General features: G+C 41.9%; 1 protein-coding gene across 1 annotated transcript in view, besides 2 other annotated features; it reads left to right on the top strand.

Annotated features, from left to right (window-relative positions):
• The window catches only part of ERN1 (endoplasmic reticulum to nucleus signaling 1), a 91,003-nt gene that overhangs the window by 1,019 nt on the left and 65,751 nt on the right, over window positions 1-24,233 (top strand). The gene's annotated exons all lie outside the window — the stretch shown is intronic.
• Window positions 7,659-7,798: an enhancer, noted in NCBI's record as "active region_12582". NCBI's record gives its function as "activates an Ori minimal core promoter by ATAC-STARR-seq in GM12878 lymphoblastoid cells {active_cell/tissue: GM12878}" and the evidence as "EXISTENCE:reporter gene assay evidence [ECO:0000049][PMID:35858748]".
• Window positions 8,029-8,088: an enhancer, noted in NCBI's record as "active region_12581". NCBI's record gives its function as "activates an Ori minimal core promoter by ATAC-STARR-seq in GM12878 lymphoblastoid cells {active_cell/tissue: GM12878}" and the evidence as "EXISTENCE:reporter gene assay evidence [ECO:0000049][PMID:35858748]".

Genomic DNA, 24,233 nt, shown 5'->3' with positions numbered 1-24,233 from the left:
GGAGACTTGGCTTTTTTTTTTCTTCTGGTTGGAAGAACCTAAATTAGCGAATGTTTTTCACAAAATGTATTGTTCAGGATGTGAGCGTGGCAAATTTGTCCGTGTTCTGTTTAATGACCTCTTTAAAGGTACTGTGTACTCTTTAATAGGGATATCATGTACCAGGTGTCCCAGTAGAGCACTGACATGTGTGTGCCTGAGTGCCAGCCACCGTGTGAACTCTTTGGAGGTTTTGCATTTTAGGTAAATAACTGTCTGTACTCTTGGAGTAACAAGAATTTGGAAACAGGAGAAGTAAATAAATAAGGTTGCCTTTTTCAAATTCAGGGTTTTTTTTTTTAAATAAAGGAAAATTTGTAGACTCTTTATAATAGAACTTGTGGAAGTTAAGTTTTTCTTTCAAATAAAAACCCCACTTTTACAACTAAGGTCAGGTTTTGAACTTGAGCACCTCACCTTGGATTGGTAACTACTGCCTGGCATCTGTTCACAAACGAAGGTATAAGCAGAATGACCAAATGTTTGACATGAATTCGATCATTTCATAACGTCAAGGGATAGGTGTATAATGGTTTCCTTTGCCACATCTTTCCTTTTGCTACTTTGTCACTGGATTCTAGTGTTTGGTTATTGAATAACTTAGGCTAAAGAGCCAAAAATAACGATTTAGCTGTAGTTGGAACTATAGTTTCAGTTCGTGTAAATATTTCCAATTTGTATTTAGAAATCCAAACTTCTCAGAGTTCATGATAAAATATTCCAGACCCTTATCAAAAGGTTATAGTTTAGCGTAACTATATTTAGGTGAAAGGTCAGGCCGGGCCCGGTGGCTCATGCCTGTAATCCCAGCACTTTGGGAGGCTGAGGTGGGTGGATCACTTGAGGTCAGGAGTTTGAGACCAGCCTGGCCAACATGGTGAAACCTTGTCTCTACTAAACATACAAAAAAAAAAAAAAAAAAAAATTAGCCGGGCGTGGTAGCGCAGGCCTGTAATCCCAGCTACTGGGGAGGCTGAGGCAGGAGAATCACCCGAACCTGGGAGGCAGAGGTTGCAGAGATGGAGTCACTGTGCTCCAGCCTGGGTGACAGAGCAAGACTCTGTCTCAAAAAAAAAAAAGAAAGGTCAGAATTTCACTCCTAGAATTTTCTCCCAAGGGTTTTTACCCCCAAACATAGTAAGAATTATTATTTTAAAATTGTAAATGAAACTCATAGCAAAGTTTGCAGTTAAACCAGGCAACAGTGATGTGCAGAACGCAGTGGGTATAAAATCAGACAAACCTGAGTTCTAACTGGTCACTTGCTAGCTGTGCCCTAGGCATATTCTTTTACTACTACTACTACTACTTCTTTTTTTTTTTTTTTTTGATATGGAGTTTCTTCGCTCTTGTTGCCCAGGCTGGAGTGCAATGGTGTGGTCTCAGCTCACTGCAACCTCCGCCTCCCGGGTTCAAGCGATTCTCCTGCCTCAGCCTCCCGAGTAGCTGGGATTACAGGAGCCCACCACTACACCCGGCTAATTTTTGTATTTTTAGTAGAGACGTGGTTTCACCATGTTGGCCAGGTTGGTCTCGAACTCCTGACCTCAAGTGATCCACCCACCTTGGCCTTCCAAAATGCTGGGATTACAGGCATGAGCCACCGCACCCGGCCATGATTTTACTTCTTAGAGACTCCTTCCTGATAGGTGAAATGGGGACAGCTAACATGTGAAAGAAGGCACCACCTTCACACGTGCTTAATAGATAATAAATGTAAATTCTCTTTATGCTCCAAAGATGCTTTTTACTCTAAGCCATCATTTTTTGAATGTTATACTATGCCTCTGCAAGAAATAGTTTTTGATATTTCTTTTTGATTGATGTAGTAACTATTGCATTGGAGGCAATACTGTGATTTTCTTTCAGTGTGTGTCTTATTGAGCCAGACATTGACTCATTATGAGTTGAGACTTTAGGCTACCAGATCCAAAACGCAATAACATTGGTATTATTAAGCACTTGAGGCTGTCTTTTGTTAATCCAGAATGTGCTTATTTAGTCAGTGAGTTTTTCCTTTCTTCCTAGACCTATATCTTGCTCCTAGAGTTGGTTAGGGTTACATCATCACTGTCAGCAGTCCTCATTTTATGGTTATTTAGGTGCCACATCTCTCAATTACCAAAGAGATCAGTACAATGTGAGGCAAAGTACCTTTTTTTTTAAAAGCTATAAGATATCAGATTTCTTTCATTTAGCCAATATTTTGGTTTTAGAGGGAGGTTTTTAAAAAGTCACCGAGAACTGAGGATCATGTGTGTATAGAAACACTGTAATCTGATAGATGAGTCTTAACTAGCAATGTCTTTGCTTATCATTTATTCTGACAGTGATCACCTGCATTAATTATCCTAATAGGCGATATCAAGTGTTTATACTGAGGCCATAAGTAGAATGTTCATTGAGTTTGTTATCAGGGCTGCTGATCATGAAATTAAACTGTAGTTGTGCACATGTGTATTGTTTCATTAACTTGCCTGCCTATTCAGCCTTCTGCAGTAATGTAGCTTCTCAGAGCACAGGAGAAAAATGTATCTGAGAGTTATTCGAGAGAGAGTTCAACAATAGCCCATATTTCCGAACATAAATCTAGTGAGCCGCATTAAAGTTTCTTCATGTCTGGATGGAATAGTGTCACTTGCATAGGTCTGAGGGTTTCATTATTTGCCTGCCCCAGATTTGGACTCCGTTTTTCAGGTGAAAGAATCCTTGGATAACTGTTTCATTTTCATAGGAAACCTCTTTGGTTTCGGGATCCAAAGTAATATGTAGGTTCAATATTTTGTAGGTTTTATAATCAAATGTCTCCCTAAAGAGATGACATAGGGAAGAAAAGCCTAATGTATCATCTTAATGGATTCAGTTTTTATTATGCACAAATAACTGGGCTTGTAACCTAGGAATATGATTAGAGCGTGATGCTGGCTTAAAAAATAGGACTGGTGAATCACAGTTTGTGAATAATAAACTACTGGTTGGAAATATTTCCCAGAAGCAGTTTTTTTTTTCCTTTCTATCTTTACCTATATCCCATGTTTGGTTTCAAACTTCCCTGCCTTAGAGCAACACAGCTGGTTTTAGACAGTCTTTCTATCAATATCTTATAATCTTTGCTCATGTACAAACATACAGCAAATACAACGGTATAAAAATACGATGTTATCTATTTTTGTTCACTTTTTCCCCACAGAACATCTTCTGTAACCCGGTAGAAAATGTTCTGAGTACACCATCACATTTGTCACTTTAGTAGCACCTTAGTAAACCATCATCCATGTAAAAAAACATTGAGCTTCTCAGCCGGGCTTGGTGGTTTGCGCCTGTAATCCCAGCACTTTAGGAGGCCAAGGCGGGTGAATCACTTGAGGTCAGGCGTTCGAGAGCAGCCTGGCCAACATGGCAAAACTCCGTCTGTACTAAAAATACAAAAATTAGCTGGGCAAGGTGGCATGCACCTGTAATCCCAGCTACTCGGGAGGCCGAGGCAGGAGAATCGCTTGAACCTGGGAGGTAGAGGTTGCAGTGAGCTGAGATCACACCACTGCACTGCAGCCTTGGCAACAGAGCGAGACTCTGTCTCAAAAAGAAAAACAAAAAACAAAAAACATTGAGCTTCTGTGCCCAGCCGTGGGTTGGGGACTGGGGTTATAACTGATCAGGGTTGATGTGGTAATAAGCCGAGCTTTGCCTGCCAGTCATCTTGCTGTGGCCATAGGGATCATAAAGAAAGGGGTATTTTCATTTTTTCAATTATTTTATGTTTGGTGCTTTCTGTATGATAACAGGGGAAGATATTTTTTTTTGAGGCATTATCTCAAAGTAATCATATTCATTGTAGAAAAGTTAGAAAGGATAGATAAGCCTAAATTAAAAAATAAAAAACAAGCCTTCTATTATCTTATTTTCCAAACATTACCTCTATGAAGATTTTAAACAATTTTATTGAGATATAATTCACCTATCATCACAATTCACCCATTTAAAGTGTACAATTCGGTGGGTTTTAGTATATTGACAGAATTCTGCAGTCATCACCACAGTCCATTTTAGAACATTTTCATCATCCCAGAAATAAACTTCATACCTATTAGCTGTTACACACCGTTTCCCCCCAAACCTCCTAGTCCTTGGCAACCACAAATCTACTTTCTGTCTATAAATTTGCCTATTCTGGACCTCTTATATAAATGGAATCATACATTATGTGGTCTTTTGTAACTGGCCTCTTTAACTTAGCATCATGTTCTCAAGGTTCATCCATGTTGTATAATAACATGTGTCAGTACTTTGTTCCTTTTTATTGCTGAATAATATTCCATTATATGAATATACCACATTTTATTTATCCATTGTATTAGTCCATTTTCATGCTGCTGATAAAGACATACCCGAGACTGGGCAATTTACAAAAGAAGTAGGTTTAATGGACTTACAGTTCCACGTGGCTGGGGAGGCCTCACAATCATGAAAAAAGGTAAGGAGGAGCAAGTCACATCTTACGTTGATGGCAGCAGGGAAAGAGAGAGCTTGTGCAGGGAGCTTCCCATTTTTAATACCATCAAATCTCGTGAGACTTATTCACTATCACAAGAACAGCACGGGAAAGACCCATCCCCATGATTCAGTTGTCTCCCACGGGGTCCCTCCAACAGCACATGGGAATAGTGGGAGCTACAAGATGAGATTTGGGTGGGGACACAGAGCCAAACCATATCATCCATCCATTGAGGGACATTTGGATTGTTTCTGCTTTGGGACTATTAATAATTCTGCCATGAACATTTGTGTACAAATTTTTGCGTGGACATTTATTTTCACTCTTCTTGGGCATATATCTAGGAAAGAGATTGTTGGGTCATATGGTAACTCTTTGTTTAACCTTTCAAGGAACTGTCTGACTGTTTTCCAAGGCAGCTGCACTATTTTACATTCCCACCTGCAATGTAGGAAGGAGGGTTACAGTGTCTCTTATACCCTCACTGATACTCGTTATTACCTATCTTTTTAATCTTAGCCATCCTGGTGGATGTGGAGTGGTAACTCATTATAGCTTTGATTTGCATTTCTCTAATAACTAATCTAATATCTTGACATATGTTCTTTCAGATGCTTTTTCTGTGCACATATTTACAGGTAATACTTTTCTTCCCCACACTGGAACATATAGATCTATGTCAATCAGCTTAATTCTGCAACATTATTCTTAATTGGCTGCGTAGTATTTCTCTGAATGGAATGGATGTACCATAATTTGACCACTCAATCATTTAGATATTGAGGCTGTTTTTATTTTTTTTTATTTTTTCACTACACAGATATGTTTTTATTTTCATTATAAAAATTATAACAATGTAATGAACTTTCTTGTTGCTAAACTCTTGAATGAGTTTTAAGTGCTTAGTTATTTCCTGGAGATAGATTCCTAGAATTGAAATTTGCTGATTGTATGTAGTATTTTACAGCCCTCTCCCCCAGCCCTAAGCAATGTTGAGTGTTTTAAAAACAAAACTAACCTTAAATTGTTTTTATGATAGGCGGTTTAAAGTATGCTATTTTCTTTTATCAGTGGCCACTTTCTTTTAGGAGCGTAGACTTTAAAAGTTGGATGAAAATAGAATGTTTACATTTTGTTTATATTTTGAAGATGTAAATAAACCAAGGCAGTCTCTGGATGATACCCTTTGTACCTAAAAGCTATTGAGAAAATGTTTTATTTGGATTTGTTAAATGACTCATTTGTGGGGTCCTTTAGTTTGCAGTGGTTTCAGATCAACTTTCTAGGAGATGTGGCACCCATGAGCACCCTGAAATACCTCGGGATAATTCTCTGGTTTTGAGGGTGGCCCGCCTCCTACAGATAAGATTCTTTGTATGGTCGGTTGTGAGGCCATTTAAAACTTTTGCCTTAAGACTTCATAAATCAGAGTTGATACATTGATTGTCCCTTTTGGAGGCTGCAGTTCTTAAAACATGTGGCTGTTTTTCCTAGGAATATTTAAGTACCACTTGATAATAAAGTACTACCTTTTGCTGGGATTATCTACCTGGAAAAAAAAAGGGAACAAAAAATTAAAAATAAAATGTAATATCTGTGGTGTTTTATTTTTTGTTTTGTTTTGCTTTTCCTGCAAATTTATTCTTCCAAAAAAAATGTCCCTTTCAAAATAATCACCCTTTGGCGTGAATTTACGGGTTATTGAAATCAGTCTTAAAAAAATTTCCAGTTAAATTTAACAACTTATCTAACCCATTTAATAATTCAACTTTAAAACAAAAACGAACCTTTGAAAACAAATATTTACTCTTAAGCCAGTTATCCTTATACAAGTTAAAACATTCTCCAATTCCTTCCAGTCTTTGCTTAATAGGACTTTTACATGATTCACACTACACTTTTGATCAAAATTGTTATTACCCAGTTTGATCACACAATTTATTGAGGACACTTGGATTTGGTTTTCAGCTATTTATTAAAATGAAATCCATCCTAAAGTGAACAGGATTTTTACCATTTAGGGGATTCAAAAGTATATTCTTTGAAGGGAATTTCCAAAGAATTCCAGAAATATTTTGAGCCCTAGAAGCATGTATGAATAGATGTGTAGCCTCCCAAGATAACTGGAATCAGAGTGCATTAGACTGCTTGATGGGCTCTCGGCCATGTAGTCCAATGAGTCTCAATTTTTTCCCCTTCCAGCTGCACATAAGAAATATGGCGCACATCCCTCAGTAACAGTATGAGCACATCAGAACCTAGGAGGGTGGTGTTTGGGGCACCCTCTCTCAGGCATTACCCTCCTCTCCCAAGCTGAGAAAAATTACTACCCTGCTCTGTCTTCCAGAGCAGACAGATGGGAAAAGGCAACCAGCAAGGGCTGGTAACCTGTCCAGGGTCATGTGTGAGTGGCAGAACCAAACCTTAAACTTGATCCTCCTACCTCCCTTTGAAGAGAAGCCCCTGCAGTGCTTATGTTCTGGTGCGTATGTTGGGACAAACCAGTCTGGCTACCCTCAGTCATACCCTGAGGAGCTGACCAAACTATGTGGCCATGAGAGAAGGATCTAGAGAAGGTCTAGGCCAGTAGGCTTTCTTGTAAGCTTCAGGAAAATACCCAGATAATGTTATTTTTCCTCCGTTAAGAATCATGGCCTTCTACCCTTTGTTGCAGTTGTGCGAAGATGCCATTTTGAGATGGGAATGCTGCCTTCACCTGAGAGTCTCCATCAAGGAAATTGGCCATTTTCAACTGTAGAGTCAAATCCAGCAATCATGGAGAGAGTAGGGATTAAAAGCCTGCTCGGCTGGGCACAGTGGCTCACGCCTGTAATTCCAGCACTTCAGGAAGCTGAGGCGGGCGGATCATAAGGTCAGGAGTTCAAGACCAGCCTGGCCAACATGGTGAAACCCCATCTCTACAAAAATACAAAAATTAGCCAGGCATGGTGGCGGGCACCTGTAATCCCAGCTACTCATGAGGCTGAGGCAGAAGAATCGCTTGAACCTGGGAGGCGGAGGTTGCAGTGAGCTGAGATCCTGCCATTGCACTCCAGCCTGGGCAACAGAGACTCCGTCTCAACAACAACAACAAAAAATTGCCTGCTAAGCCTAATTCACAGTTTAAGCTAATTTCTTTGCTTGGAGTCTAATAATATCCAAGCAGGTGCATGTTTTCAGTAACATCTCGCCTAGTCATATGTCTGAAAGAACAAAACTGAAAGTTCTTTCCTTAGAGGCCTTTAACCCAAGCCGCTCTTCTCTAGCTCAGTCACAGCCTTCACCAAGAAGTCCTGAAAAGATAGAACTCTTGCATTACCGTGCTGGTTCTGGGTGTTTGCCTTTGCAGAGGCGCCACCTGCCAAGCAGTTCTGGCACCAGGGAGCAGGTCTGTGATGACAGGAGAGAGACAGTGGCTGTGACTCTGGCTCTTAAACCACAATGGAGGGATTCAAGTTAGCTTAGGTAGCTCTCAGAGGAGACTAATGAGGGAAGGAAGGAGCAAGGGGGGAAGGAAGGTGCCCCTGGGAGTGTGTCTCACTTCCCTTGCTGGTTCATCCGAGAAGGCAGGGACCCTGGCTTGCTGATGGTTGCATCCTCTGTGGCATTTAACGTGGCATGCTGGTTATACCCACTGTAGGGGGCACTCAGCAAATATTTATTGAATTCTTCTTTGAGACTCATTAAGACCAATAAAGGGGCTGTATTATATCATCAAGCAAGTGGGTTGTGGATGGGGGTGGGAGGTATTGCTTCAGCTATATTTTATATTCTTTAATGGGATTGCACCAGTTGTGTGTCTTTCTACAGAACTAGAGGAGCTTTCAGGATATTTGCTTGGGTGGACGTGACCCATAGTGTGTAGTGTTCTTTTGGTGGGCTCTTCTTATCAGTAATGAGATTAATTTTTCCATTGCCAAACTCCATGAGGTAAACAGTTTGTGATTATTTCATGTCAGTTTCATTTTTCACTCAGCATGATGTTTCACTGTTAAAAAAATGAACCTTGGCCCAGAGTTGTCCTCTCATGTATTAAACATGACTTCCTTTGTTAGTAGACTAATTTATAATTATAATTCAAAACCATCCCATTCTCCAGTGGATTATTTCCCCCCTCTCTGTCAGATGAAGGAATAATTGTTTGTCTGGGCTGCAGGAGTGTCTGTCATGGAAACCGAATTTTTCTGTACATTCTCTGAACAAACAGTGCTGTCACATCCCTAGAACCTGACATTGTCATTGATCTCCAGTTGAGTCAGAGAAGTTTGTTGACCAAGGTAAATCAGATCTCTCTTCTCTTAAAGCAAATGGCCCATGACTCCTGAGGGGCCACTAGGAGTGAGAGAATCACCTGTACAGGGGGCCACAACTGTGGCTAGGAATGTGTTACTTGAGGCGGTGCTTCCCAGCCATGACTCAGTCACCTGGGGAGCTTTTTAAAAACGCTGTGCTGGGGCCCCATCCTATGTGAATGAAATTGGAATCTCTGGGAGTGGGGGCCGGCATCTTTTCTTTTTTAAAAAAAAAATGTTTAAGGCCAGGCTCAGTGGCTTACACCTGTAATCCCAGCACTTTGGGAGGCCAAGACAAGAGGATCACTTGAAGTCAGGAGTTTGAGACCAGACTGGGCAACAATGAAAGACCCCATCTCTACCAAATAAACCAGCAAAAAATGTTTTAAGGCCCAAGTGACTCTGATGTGCAGCCAGGATGAGGCCTTCAAGTAATTTTTGTACCTTAATCCTGGAAAGAACAAATGCATCTCCAAATTCCCAGTCACGTCACAGAGCACGGGACCAGACTAGACACAGCATTTGGCTCATTTTACAGAGAGGTTAGGATTGATAGAGTCCGCTAGTTAGTGTTAGAACTAGAAATAAAGTTCTAACTTTATTTCTAGTTCTAGGCGTGGTGGCTCATGCCTGTAATCCCAGCACTTTGGGAGGCTGAGACGGGCGGATCATCTGAGGTCAGGAGTTGGAGATCAGCCTGGCCAACATGGTGAAACCCCGTCTCTACTAAAAAAATGACAAAAATTAGCCAGGCGTGGTGGCGCGTGCCTGTAATCCCAGCTGCTTGGGAGGCTGAGGCAGGAGAATTGCTTGAACCCAGGAGGCAGAGGTTGCAGTGAGCCAAGATCCCACCACTGCACTCCAGCCTGGGGAACAAGAGTGAAACTCAATCTCAAAAAAAAAAAAAAAAAAAAAAAAAAAAACCTAGAAAAAAAGGAACCTAATATTACATTTTCTCTACTGTACTATATCATTCAACTTTTAAAGAGCAGGTAATTTAATGGATTTTTTCCTTTGAATACAAACTGTTGAAATTGCTTTTATCAGCTTTAACTAATAGGCCTTATATTAAAACATATTTAGTTACTGAATTGTAAGATGTTTAAATGTTTATTTAAAGTTACCCGACTTATGCTTGTTTATTTATTTATATATTTGTTTATTGCCTTTTCCATATATTAAGAGGCTTAAGAAATCAAAACAATGTTGTTTTCCAGGCTCCTTCACAGTATCCTGATGGGTAAAATCATCTTCATGGTTTTAAAAGAACCTTCCATAACAAAAATGAAATAGCCATTGCGAGTGAGGAGAAGGGATTTGTAGAAGGAGTGAGTTAGTTAAAGCACAAGAAGAAGCTTGTGAACCAACAGGAACTTTCCTATCAGGGTGGGAACATATGTTTTGGAAGCAAATGGTGGGAGGGTGCAGGCTGTGACACTCCCTTCCCCTTTTCATGTGAGAGCTGGCTATTAGCCTCATTGCCTGAGTCAGGCAGAGTTCCCTCGAAGGGTTTTTATAGCAGGTGCCGAGCTGACAAGCCCAACTGTAGAACACAGGAGAGGACCAGTCAGTTGTCTCAGCTCCCGGACCCATCTCAGTTGTTTCTCAGAGGATCTTTATTAGCTGGTTTAGAAACAGGAGGACACTTGCTTTCAAGCATCACATTGAGTGGGCTGGACCAAATCCAAAACTCTGCTGGAACCAAGTTGACAAATGTCAGTAGAATTGGGAGCCCGCTCTTTGAATACAACCTTGGAATGGGGCTTGGCACCTGGCCTGAAAGCGCTGTGTGGACTCCAGCACCAGGGCTGTTTCCTAATTTAACTTAATGCTTAAAGGAAATCCCAAGTGGCAGACCAGTTCTGCACTCCTTGAGCAGATAGGCATTTAGCTGTTTTTAAATGTAAAATCATTTTAGCTGTTTTTAAATGTAATCATAGGGCCAGTATCTTGTTTCTATATGTGTGTTTGCCCCATATGATGAAATTGTATGCATTCTTTCAGCAAGTGAGAGTCCGGAGGTTCTGTACTAGCTAGCTGTGCAACTTTGGGCAAATGAGTTATTTCCCCCTCTGCTTCCTCATCTGTAAAACAAAGCAACGGAACCAGAAAATCTCTTTGGTGGGCCTGTTTCCAAATGTCTTCCCAAATTAGGATCACCATTTAGGTGAAAGCGACTAGTCCCCCAGCCGCCTCTTTTTCTGGTGCAGCCTCATACGGGGAGGTAGAAGATGGGAGGGCTGCTTTGCTTTGAGCCTCCCAGCTTCCTAGCTCTTGAATGTAGTGAATTTCATCTGTTCATCCATTTATTTATCAACTTTTTGAGTACATATTTTATGCCAAGCACTGTTTGAGATGCTTGGGAAACATGAACAAAACAAAGACCCCCGCCCTCATGGAACTTCTACCTAGTTGGTTGGGATAGACAACAGCATGGTAAATACATTATATAGAATGTGATAAGGTGATAAAATTCTGCAGGGGTTGCAGGGGAGAAACATAGAGCAGAGCAAGGGAGATGGAGGCCTCGTAAGTTGCCACACACCGTGGTGTGGTTTCATCGGCTCTCGCTCACCTGTCTTGTATAGGGCCTAGGGCCTTCCCTGACCACTGTACTCTCGTAGACTAGATCCCTTCCTGCACTCCAAATAGCACCACGTCACTTAGTGTTGGGGTAATGTACAGGTTGGTGCTCCTGTTTGTTTCTTGTCTAATCTTCTGGAGGACTGGTGTTGATAGTCCTCAGGTATGTCTGAAAATCCTGAGCAAATATGAGGGACTGAGCGTGAACATTGTTGATTTTTCTTTACTTTCTATTTCTTTTTTCTTTTCTTTTTCTTTTTCTTTCTTTTTTTTTGAGATAGAGTCTCACTGTGTCGCCCACACTGGAGTGCAGTGGCGTGATTTTGGCTTACTGCAACCTCCGCCTCCCGGGTTCAAGTGATTTTCGTGCTTCAGCCTCCCGAGTAGCTGGGATTACAGCCATGTGCCAATACGCCCAGCTAATTTTTGTATTTTTAGTAGAGACGGGGTTTCGCCATGTTGCCCAGGTGAGTCTCAAACTCCTGGCCTCAAGTGATCCACCTGCTTTGGCCTCCCAAAGTGCTGGGGTTACAGGCATGAGCCACTGCGCCTGGCCACATTGTTGATTTTTTTAAAAATTTTTATTATTTATTTATTTTTTGAGATGGAATCTCACTCTGTCGTTGAGGCTGGAGTGAGGGCAGTGGCATGATCTCTGCTCACTGCAAGCTCCGCCTCCCGGGTTCACACCATTCTCCTGCCTCAGCCTCCCAAGTAGCTGGGAATACAGGCACACGCCACAACACCTGGCTTTTTTTTTTTTTTTTTGTATTTTTAGTAAAGACAGGGTTTCACCGTGTTAGCCAGGATGGTCTCAATCTCCGGACCTTGTGATCCGCCCACCTCGGCCTCCCAAAGTGCTGGGATTACAGGCATGAGCCACCGCTCCCGGCCACGTTGTTGATTTTTAAGGATAACATGATAAGACATTAAATCCTGTCAGGGAAACCTCAGAAAACCCCCACAACTCAGAGGGGTCAGAACCAGCCATTCTTTGATTTTTGTGATGGCTGTGCACCCAAATACACAAATGGGTGTGTTTGTGTGTGTGTGTGTGTGTGTTATTTTTTTTTTACATTAAATAAGATTACATTTTTTTTCCATTGTAGGAGTATTTGTAACATCTCCCGATAAATTGAAATGCGGTAAGAAAGTTCTAAGAACAAATTTGGGGAATCTCTGACCTTTAAAGGTACTACCTCATTATGAGCAATCCAGTGACCTTATTCTAGAATTCTGTTAGGGTTCGTTTTCCACTTGCCATGAGCTGGTTTTGCAAAGAAGAAAACGGTTTCCTTTATATGTGGAGATTAAGAACAAGTTTATCTGTAGTTTTGGTGCTCGACTAACTGGGAACCAAGCCACAGTTGCTTGTAAAACGGACCCTAAGTTATCTTGATCTTGATGGTTCAGTGCTTGGAAATCTCTGGGGCTTTCGGTGCCTGGTAAAAGTTCAATCACTTATCTGATTTGTGGTTGGCAGAAGAAAAGGTATCACCCTTTCAGTTTAGGAGATGGTTGCTTTTAGAGTCTATAGTAGGTAGGTGTGCCTGGGAATCAGCCACCTGGTCCCATGTAACATTAGTTGATTTTCATGGTATTTCTTTTCCCCATCCTGAACCTTAAAGTGAGTCAGATTATTACTAATTTCTAATGTTGCAATATTTTGAGATAAGCGGAGACACTTAGATGTTGCAAGACCAGGATTGGAAATGACTATGTTCAAAGGCATTAGGACTTCTAAACTCTGTCAAATTGTTATGCGGATTTTGGGCATGTTTTGATTGGTTGGGGCTAGAAGAAGCTGCAGCAAAGCCTGAGGAGAGATGAGGGTCTGGTAAGTCATGGATCATCATGCTTCAGAGCTGCAGCCACCATCCACCTCAGGCTTCTTACTTTCTTGGAAACCCATGCCTGGAAAAATCTAATGACTTGCCCAGAGCTCAAACCAGACCATGCATCTGTGTGCCCACCTCATCTTCTGTCAGCTTCATTCACCCCAAAAGCATCTATATGTTCCAGACTCATGAGGATACCTGAGGAACTTTGGTTTTGTTTTTAAACCAAAGAGTTTTGAGAGGATAAAATAACAGGTTTTGAAGCTATATGGACACAGGCTAGGGCAAGGAGTGAGAAGACAGCTGAGCAGGGTAGGGTGGGACCAGACTCTTGGAACTGCTCTGGGCAGGACCTGGATATGCTGCCAAGTCAGCTTTCGGGAAGTTCGGCCATGGAACTTGCCGTCTTTTTTTCTGCATTACACGACTCTCCTGCTAGACGGCAAACCCCTTGAAGCCAGGAGTTTTACAGGCCTTGGGGCGGCATTGCCTTGTGTGTAACAGGACCCTTCTTTCTGCATATATGTAGGATAAGAGTCCAGCTTAGGGGCAGGGTTGGAGTAAGTGAACTAGCACACAGGAGTTGAAATAGAAGAGTCAGCCAACAGGAAGAAGTATGAGGCAGGGAGTGCCTGGAAGAGATTGGCAAATCCTGAAGTCCTTGCCAGCCTACTTGAGTAATGTGAGACCATGAGCCAATGACTTACCTTGTCCTGTAAGTTTAGTATCCCCAAGATTTCTGCCTCTTGTAATGAAAATAGTCCTGGCACTGACTGCAGGTACTGTGGAGATGGGGCGCCTGGAAGATTAAAAAGACGGGAAGGTGCAGGTTTAACTCCTCAACCCTTCAGAGGGAGCTTTCTGATTCCATGCATGATGGCTAGTCAGAGAAATGGCTCCCCCTCAAATGAGGAGTCTTAGGAAGCAAGAAAACCTGCCTTGGGGTTTGTTCTGAAGGCCACATTTCATCACAAAAACAGCCATATTTACTACGCTCTCCTACGAAGTTCTGATGTGTTCTGCTAATATTCAGCTGTAAACCAGCTAGGCAACATCAGTCGAATGTTAGTATAAATTAAAACACTGGAGGAGACTCACCGAGAGTGTGAACAGATTGTGGTTGGTGTATTACACGCCTCACCTTAGGGAGAGTGCTTTTTTTTCTTCCAGGTGGCTTTACAACGATGTGAACAGCAACCTTCCTGTTCTTTCCTTCAGCTGCATAGATAACAAATAAGACACGTAAAAAAAAGATTCTGACTCTTGTGGCCCACGCCATTCTGGGACTTCTCCCCCAACCTCACCGTGTCCCATATCCCCTCTGCCTTCTCTGTCCAGCTACACTGGTCCACCGGGTCCTCAAACACAACAAATTCTCTGCAGTCTCAGAATTTTGCATAGGCTATTCCCTCTGCCCAGGAAATTCTTCTTTCCTTCTCCCTTTCCTATAGATCTTAACTCAAACATCATTTTTAACACTGTGCTTCCCCCACCATCACAAGACCAGATGCTCTTCTTCTGTTATGCTGTCGCAGTTTCCAGTATGTCCCTTTCATGGCACTTACTACAATTTGTCATTTTATGTTTGTGTCATTATTGATTACTGGGGTCTCCTATTGGACTGTAAGCTCCATGAAAGCAGGAAACCAGATCTCATTTGTTGTGATTAGATCCTAGTGTCTCATACAGTTCTTAATGAATAATAGTAACTGACACTTACATGATGCTTACTGTATATTAGGCCCGTTCAAGAGCTTTACTTATGTTGACTCAACACTCCTTGCAAAAGCTTTTTTTTTTTTTTTTTTAGCATTTACCTTCTTATTACAGTCTTTGAAAGCCCATGGAATTATTCTAGGGACACAGAGGACTTTGTGGCATAGATTTAGGTAAAGGTCACCGGGCACGGTGGTTCACGCCGGTAATCCCAGCACTTTGGGAGGCCGAGGTGGGTGGATCACAAGGTCAGGAGTTCAAGACCAGCCTGGCCAAGATGGTGAAACCCCCATCTCTACTGAAAATACAAAAATTAGCCGGGCATGGTGGTGGGCGCCTGTAATCCCAGCTACTCGGGAGGCTGAGGCAGAGAATTGCTTGAACCCAGGAGGTGAAGGTTGCAGTGGGCCGAGATCACGCCACTGCACTCCAGCCTGGGCGACAGAGTGAGACTCTGTCTCCAAAACAAAACAAAACAAAAAAATTGCCTGGCGGCATGGTGACTCGTGCCTATAATCCCAGCTACTCCAGAGGCTGAGGCGGGAAAATTGCTGGAACCTGGGAGGCAGAGGTTGCAGTGAGCCGGGATCACGCCACTGCACTCCAGCCTGGGTGACAGAGCGAGACTCTGTCTCAAAAAAAAAAAAAGATTTACGTAAAGGGCAAAATGCTCTGGAAAAATAAAGTGTTAGATACCAGGGAGATTTGGCCATAGCTGGAAATGTTTAACTCTGCGAATACTTGGAGCCACTAATTATGTATACTTGTTTTATTCATAATTTGTAATGGTCTAGGATAGCAAAAGTAATGTGAATCATGGTTGAATTTAATAAAATGTTTTTAACCTCATCCTAAAATATCCACTGATCCATCTCATTCAATGGCAATATGCAGTGGTTAAGGGAACATAAAAACAAACATCCACACAGCTGCACAGTTCTCATGAAAGTCTATCTCATTATTGGTGGGGGTAGCACATTTAACAGCTTAAACATATAGGTCACTGCATGATGCCGCACTGGTAACTAGATAGCCAGGGAACCAACTAACCAGTAACTGTTAAAATATTTAAAATACAGCTTTTGTTTAGATCATCCTTTGGATCACCTTCTTGGGAAAAAAGCCTGCTAGTCACAGTGGAAATATATTAAGGCCCGATCTTCTGATATCCATTCCCAGAGGTTTCTTTCAGCTAGATTAAGCCTCCACCTCCAGAGCACACCCAAGTTTGTGATCTCCAGCATTGATGATCTCTTGTCTACCAGAGCAGACAGTGTGAGCCTCACACCAGGCCTCAGAGTCTGTGTGTAGCCCACTCCAATTAGACTAGAGTTGGTGACTTTTGCATTTACTGGTTTATGATAAAGGATACAGATGAAGAGACGCATAGGGCAAGGCATGCGGGAAGGGGCATGGAGATCTCATGCCCTTGGGGTATGCCCCACCCATCAGGAATCTCCATGTGTTCAGCTGTGCAGAAGCTTTTCCCAACAACTTTTTAAAGTTAATTAGCATTATCCCCATTTTATGGATGAGAAACTGAAGGCACAGAGAGGTAAGTGATTGCCTGAGGTGGTCTGGCTCCACAATCTACCTTTTTAACAACCACATTATACTGCTCAGGAACTACACTGAACTTAACAAGTATCTATTGAATCGTTTAGCCGCAGCATCATAGGTGAGTTTCCAAATGATGGAAATACAATCCCATAACTTAAAATATAGTAATGTTTACTGACAACCTCCTCAGCAGTTATACTCTGCTTCCTTCTTCTTCTTCTTTTTTTTTTTTTTTGAGACAGAGTCTCGGTCTGTCGCCCAAGCTGGAGTGCAATGGTGCAATCTCAGCTCACTGCGCTGTCCACCTCCTGGGTTCAAGTGATTCTCCTGCCTCACCCACTCGAGGAGCTGGGATTACAAGCATGTGCCACCGTGTCCGGCTAATTTTTGAGTATTTAATAGAGATGGGGTTTTACCACGTTGGCTAGGCTGGTCTTGAACTCCTGACCTCAAGTGATCTGCCCACCTTGGCATCCCAAAGTGCTGGGATTACAGGCATGAGCCACTGCTCCCGGCCACTGCTTCCTTCTTGAACACCACGAGCCAAACATATTTTAACTCTTCCTTAATTATTCCTGATTGTCTCCTAGCACCAGTTGTTACATTATTGCTGTCTGCCCATGAGGGTAAGAGATGAGGAGCAATGGAGGTAAGAGATGAGGAGCAGTGGATTATCAGGTTTTTGAGTTTGGTTTACTTCCTGATGATTTCTTTGGCTGCCACCAATTTTTTTTTAAATTAAATAGTCTCCCTTAATATTTGTATAACTCTTACTTTTGAAATTCTCAATATTTGTTTTGCTTTCTTAGTGTTTAGAGAGATGTTGCTATTCTTCAGTTTTTAAAAGAAAAAACAAATGTGGAAGCTTAGCCACCTTGCCCCACAATCCAGATGCCCAGGTCCACTTCTGGGACCTAGAGAAGATGGCAATAAGATTGGATGACCTGGCCGGGCGCGATGGCTCATGCCTGTAATCCCAGCACTTTGGGAGGCTGAGGTGGATGGATCACCTAAAGTCAGGAGTTTGAGACCAGCCTGGCTAACATGGTGAAACCTCGTTTCTACTAAAAATACAAAAAATTAGCTGGGCATGGTGGCATGTGCCTGTAATCCCAGCTACTCGGGAGGCTGAGGCAGGAGAATCGCTTGAACCCAGGAGGTGGAGGTTGCCGTGAGCCGAGATTGCGCCATTGCACTCCAGCTTAGACAACAAGAGTCAAACTCTGTCTCAAAAAAAAAAAAAAACATTGGATGACCTCCAGGCTAGGCGGAAGCCTGACCAGGGTAGTGACTTTAGAAAGAGAGATTCCTGGGAAAACTGAGAATGACAGCAGAGAATATCCTTTATAGGATCATTATAGCCATTCCACAATGTGTACATATATCAGAACATCATGTTGTATACCATAAGTATATATAAATTTTATATGTCAATGTAAAAAATAAAAACAAACTTTTAAAAAATATTTTATAATATGGTCCCTTGTCCATTCCTGCCTGGGACAGCCATTTTTCCCTTTTCACGAGGGAGTTCTTCCTTTGATGTCTGGAAAGGCCTCCTCTTTGAGCCCATAGGTTTGCTATCTTCTGGCTGGTAATTCTTTCCTGCTTCTGTTTCCTGCCGACCACTTGATAAGCTGGAGAAAGCAACGTTGTTCGCTCTTGGCCGGTTCCTCATGCTTTGCCCCTTTTTCTGAGTCCTGTTTTCGAGCCTCAACTCGGAAGGTTTGGTTGTGCCAGCACAGTCTTCCCAGCAGTTTCTTGTGCTTTCCAATCTCTATTCAAACGTGTGAGGCTGCATAAAGATCGCTTCTCAGAGAAGCCTAGATAATAGAAAACCTATGCTGAAATTACAGAAATCTGATGTAATATTGACATGAAAAAGTCAGTATCAGAATAGGCTTTCTTTTGTGTGAGCATCTTATTGCTACCAAGTGAAGCAGCCATAGCTTACTGTGTGGGGCCCATCAGTTTATGCTTGGTCATTAAAATGGGCCTTACAGTTCAAAGGAGTTGTCCTGTGCTGATCAGTAATGCGCGTTTCCTTGGCACTGACATTAAAAGAATGTTGGCTTCATCAAAGGAATTGGCAGTGGCTACATTATCATCGTCTTCATCAAAGGACATTTTTTAAAACCATTAGAACTGGGCTGTTCAGGAGATCTATTATATAACATGGTGACTATAGTTAATAACAACATATTATATACTTGAAAATGGCTAAGAGAGTAGATTTGAAATGTTCTCACCACAAAAAAATGATAAGTATGTAAGGTAATGGATATGTTAATTAGCTTGATGTAGCCATTCCACAATGTATACATACGTCAGAACATCATGTTGTACACCGTAAGTATATATAATTTTTATATGTCAGTGTAAAAAATAAAAACAAACTTTTTTTAAAAAGACTGGTTTGGGTAAGTGTGTATTGTAGGAATTTTTTTATGGTGGTTAAAGCTGAGACCTTTGACCTTTTGTTGTGTTATTCCCATTCCCACCCACTTAGATGTACAGTGAGATCTCAGGAATTTTCATGCTGAACATTTTTTAAAGACCCCTCCCTGTATAATTTGCAGTGCCATTTGGTATATTGGGTTTCTATAGAGACTCTAAAAATTACATTTTGGTCTCATCCAAAAGATCCAACCCTCATATCAAAGTGGAGTGCTGATCTTCATCTACCCCAGCAGGATTCAAAGGGGGAGCTTCAGGCCTGAAGTAATTTAGGCTTTGGCTCTCAGTGAACCGTGATTTAAAGTAGTGAAATTATAGTGTGGCATAGTGGGCAAAAGGGCTAGACGGGGAGGCGGAGACCTTGGTTCCAGTCCTGTGTCTATGGTTAACTGTCTGTGGTGCCCTGGGCAAGTCACTTCACCTCTCTGAGCCTTGATTTCTTTTCCTGTGAAATGAGAGGGTTGGGTAAGGTAATCTCTTCGGTCCTTTTCATCTCAAAAATTACACATCCCAGAAGCAGTAAACAGTCCCTACTGGTTGATCTGCATTGTGTGGAACCGCATGGACTTAAAGGATTATCCAGCTAATTGGAGAGAGGAAGGTGGTATGGTGGCCTGGGCCGGTAGAGAAGTGTGTGATCCTCAAATCAACTTCAAACAATGGGGGTCCTGGCTGGCAGAAGTCAGTCAAGCCAGATATCTCAACTCGGGGTGTATTTCATAGTACTTCTTTTCTAGCCTAAAGTTTGGCAACATCTGGCCAGTGTAGGTAGCAATTATGTCATAAATACAGTTGTTTGTAGGTAATTTTAATTTAACTAGAGTATTTTTCCACTTTCTACTTGACTCTCCTGTCTACTCCTCTACTGTCCCCTGCAAGAAATTCCTAACTAAATATGAAGAGCAAAATTGACAGTTTCAGATTAGTTGCTGTTACCAGGACTGAAAAACTTGGTATGTAATTAAATTTTTTTCCCTTGGGGTTTCTACGTGAGGACTTCTTTTTTTTTTCTATTTTTTTTGAGATGGAGTTTCCCTCTTGTCACCCAGGCTGGAGTGCAATGGTGCGATCTCAGCTCACTGCAACCTCTGCCTCCTGGGTTCAAGTGATTCTTCTGCCTCAGCCTCCCAAGTAATTGGGATTACAGGTGCCCGCCACCACGCCCAGCTAATTTTTTGTGTTTTTAGTAGAGACGGGGTTTCCCCATGTTGACCAGGCTGGTCGCGAACTCCTGACCTCAGGTGATCCACCTGCGTTGGCCTCCCAAAGTGCTGGGATTACAGGCATGAGCTACTGCACCCGGCCAGGACTTCTTAATAGTAGGTTTAACTGCATATGAGTAGACATACTCAAATGGATAAAATTTGACTTTTTGTAAGGCCAATGGTGCACATACAAATTTATAGTCTGTCAGGCCTGTATTAGTTTAGTTTGTTTAGGATGTTTCTCCATTAAAGTAAATTAGCCTGATACGTTTCTTGGTTGTTACTAGATATCAGTTGATGCTGTTTCCCTTTAGCAAAGACAACAAAATAGAGTAGTGACACCTGCATTCTAAAGCTCAGCCACTAAATGAGCATGTAACCTTGGGTTTCAGTTTTCCTAAAGTGTGGGATTTGGCTTAGCTCCCCAGGTATCCTGAGGGACCTTAGGGATTTGATACCACCCTAAGAAAAAGGGCTTGTTTTCCTAACCACGTCAGGGAAAACGATTTCATGTAGCACCATTCATGTCCAGATATGTTTCTTCTTCCAATGATGGCAATGTAAGTTGATGGCAGAGCAACCATGAACATAAACAGAACTGCAAATGGTTGAACTCAGACACTCAGCCCAGGCCCCAAAACCAGTTTGGGGGGAACTGTATTCACCTATTATGAAATTAGCATACCTTTGCATTCAGGAATACAGTGGATTTATGAGGTACTTTTTTTTTTTTTTAATCAGATCTATTAAAGGAGGACAGTAGCCTAAACTGAAGAAGAGTCCTAACTGTCTTGGGTGGTGGTTAATTACACCATACGGCAGACTTGCCACAAACACTGAAAGTTTAACTCTCTCAGCTGCTTAGTTTGGAAACCACACAGTGCTGTTCAGTTAGGCCTTGGCCTTTTCTGCATCCCAGCTAGACACTTGACTCCCATCCAAAGCAAATGTCATGGTTGCCTTTATTGACTTAATATCAGGAAACATAACAGCCGATAGACTGGTTAGAAGGAACTGTATGGTTGATGGATTATTGCTGACCTACACACAGGTAAACGAAGTATAACAGAATTTGGAATGATTTACTGGTGGACTGAAATCTTTAAAACAGTAAGACTTTTGTTTGTGTCTATGGCTGATGTTTTAATTCAGTTCTGAATGTTCTTCCACAGACAGGAGACTAAAAGTAGTGAAATATTTGTTACTCACTGTTCAGGTGGCTGTATAGAAATCTCCATATTTGGGTATAAGTACTTTGCTGCAGTATGTGTAAATGAGATGAGGGTCAGGGAACAGGGTTTGATTTGAATAAAAATCTGTTTTGTAGGCCAGCCGCTCAAGCCTGTAATCCCAGCACTTTGAGAGGTGAGGCGGGAAGATTGCTTGAGCCCAGGAGTTCAACACCAGCCTGGGCAACATAGTAGGACCCCATCTCTACAAAAAATGAAATAAAAAGCCAGGCATAGTGGTGCATGCTTGTAGTCGCAGCTACTCGGGAGGCTGAGGTGGGAGAATCGCTTGAGCCCAGGAGGTCGAGGCTGCAGTGAGCCATGATTTGTGCTGCTGTACTCCAGCCTGGGTGACAGAGCAAGACCCTGTCTCAAAGAAACAAAACAAAACAAATTTTTTTTGTATCTGTCTTAATTAAGTCTTTACTTAACATAACTTCAAAGATAGTCCTTTGTGAGCGGAGAGTTGAGCCCCTCCTGATCATTGTGAGGCTTTTACTCTGAGGGCTTGCTTTAATCATTGAGAGAGTTTTATGTCATGGACCTTTGCACTTACTGGGCACTGATTTCAGTGTTCTACTGCTTTGGTGAATTTTTGATGTCTTTTTGGCCATGATCGGACAGTCTCCTACTATGTGATGAAATGGTATTAGAAAGCGGTACTCTGCTGGCTGCCTTTATAAAGCAGAGAATCACAAATGCCCAGGCTTTGAGTTTATAGTCTGAGACAGATAATATTGCTGCAAGTAGAAGAATTGTAGACACAGATGTCCTTGTTTTGAATATCCTTTAGTGCCTTTCAAGGGTCTGTGTTATAGAATACCATTTTGAGGTACTTCTTCCTGTTGTTTTGATGTTACTGCACAGGTTGAGTGAGAGAGAGCTTGTGTGTGTGTATAAGAAACCCTGTAGGACTGGTGTCCTATGAGAGAAAGAGACAGCGAGCTTGTGTGTGTGTGTGTGTGTGTGTGTGTGTGTGTGTGTGTGTGTGTGTGTAAGAAACCCTGTAGGACTGGTGTCCTGTTATGGCATGCCAGAAAGTGTCTTACTGGTATTTCTTAAAATCAGCTGATCCATCCTGTGGCTTTCAGCCGGTTATAGCCAGCAGAATAATCCAGTCTATTTGCCATTACTCATTATTAACCCCTACTTTCTTATCCATCTAGACAGCACCCCTCACCACATCCACATGTGTGGTGGATCAGCCTTATCTTGCTTTTTTTGATAGGTGCTTTGGCATAGGCACATTCCCCTGTGTGGCATGCCCTTCCCACCTCCAAGCATGATTGCCAAGGTTAATAATTATAAGCTCTAATTCCTTAGCACATTCTAATCCACTTGAAATCATTATTCTACATTTAGCAACATGCACTTTTAATTGTTCTCAAGATTTCATATGTCCTAACTGGGCAGTAAAACAAAATATCTTGGAAATCTTTCTTATATAATCCTTCTCTCACTTGCATAACTTGTTTCAAGTCTTACCTTTAATACTGTAATATGTATTCAGTAGCCAACTAAAAGGAACCCTTAACGCCAATTTATTGCTTTACCTCTGTGCCAACCATCCAGTAGATTTGAGTCCTGGCAAGGAACCCTGCACTGCAAAAGGCAGCCTGGCTGTTGTTGGCAGGTTGCGGGTTCCAGGAACTGAGGTACACATGGTATTGTATGATATTCTATTGTCCTTGCTCAAATTATGTAAGTATTTTTAGTTTGGAGGAATGGTTTTCTTTCTTTTTTTTTTTTTTGAGTTGGAGTTTTGCTCTTGTCGCCTAGGCTGGACTGGAGTGCAACGGCACCATCTCGGCTCACTGCAACCTCCGCCTCCCAGGTTCAATCGATTCTCCTGCCTCAGCTTCCCAAGTAGCTGGGATTACACCATGCCTGGCTAATTTTTGTATTTTTAGTAGAGACAGGGTTTCACCACGTTGGCCAGGCTGGTCTCGAACTCCTGATCTCAGGTGATCTGCCCACCTTGGCCTCCCAAAATGCTGGGATTACAGGCGTGAGCCACTGTGCCCGGCTGTTTTCTTAACCTTAAATAAATAAAACTAAAGTTGGGATTATGCAATATAACAGTAATCCAATGAACACAGAGGACTATTAGCAAAACAAACAAAAACACACACACACAGAGAAAAAACCAGCCTCTGAACAAATTCTAGACATTGGTGTGATATTCCTAAAACAAATTTTTATTATTAGCCAGATGATTATATAAACTTCTGGTCTGTTGGAGTGGAGGTGTGATGGGAAGAAGATTCATAGAAAAGATTTTTATTTGAAGTCTTTTTTTTATTATTATTATTTTTAAGCTTATGCCTGTAATCTCAGCAACTCAGGAGGCTGAGGTGGAAGGATTGCATGAGGCCAGGAGTTCAAGACCAGACTGGTCAATGTAGTGAAACTCCCGACTCTACAAAAAATTTAAAAATTGGCCAGGCTGGTGTCACACACCTGTAGTCCCAGCTACTTGGAAGACTGAGGGGAGAGGATTGCTTGAGCCTCAAGGCTGCAGTGAGCTCTGATCGCTCAACTGCACTCCCACCTGGGTGACAAAGACCTCATCTCAGGAAAAAAGAAGAAAAAAGAGAGAGGGATGTACAGTTGGGTTGGACTTGATCCATTTACATGCCACCTGAGAAGTGTGTGACTCTCTTGTTCACAATCGTAGGTTTTCTGTGTGTGTGTGTGTGTACACGCCTTTTTTTTTGCAGGGATAAGATGCTCCAGTTTTGTAAATGGAGCAGAGATTATAAACCTCGTTAAGTATAGATCACTGGAAAACTGTGGGTATGGAACACGTGTGCATGACA

Source organism: Homo sapiens, chromosome 17, assembly GCF_000001405.40.
Source record: "Homo sapiens chromosome 17, GRCh38.p14 Primary Assembly".
In the NCBI taxonomy this organism is placed as follows: Eukaryota; Metazoa; Chordata; class Mammalia; order Primates; family Hominidae; genus Homo; species Homo sapiens.
The sequence above is the reverse complement of the archived record's forward strand: the minus strand, read 5'-3'. Positions and strand labels throughout refer to the sequence as shown.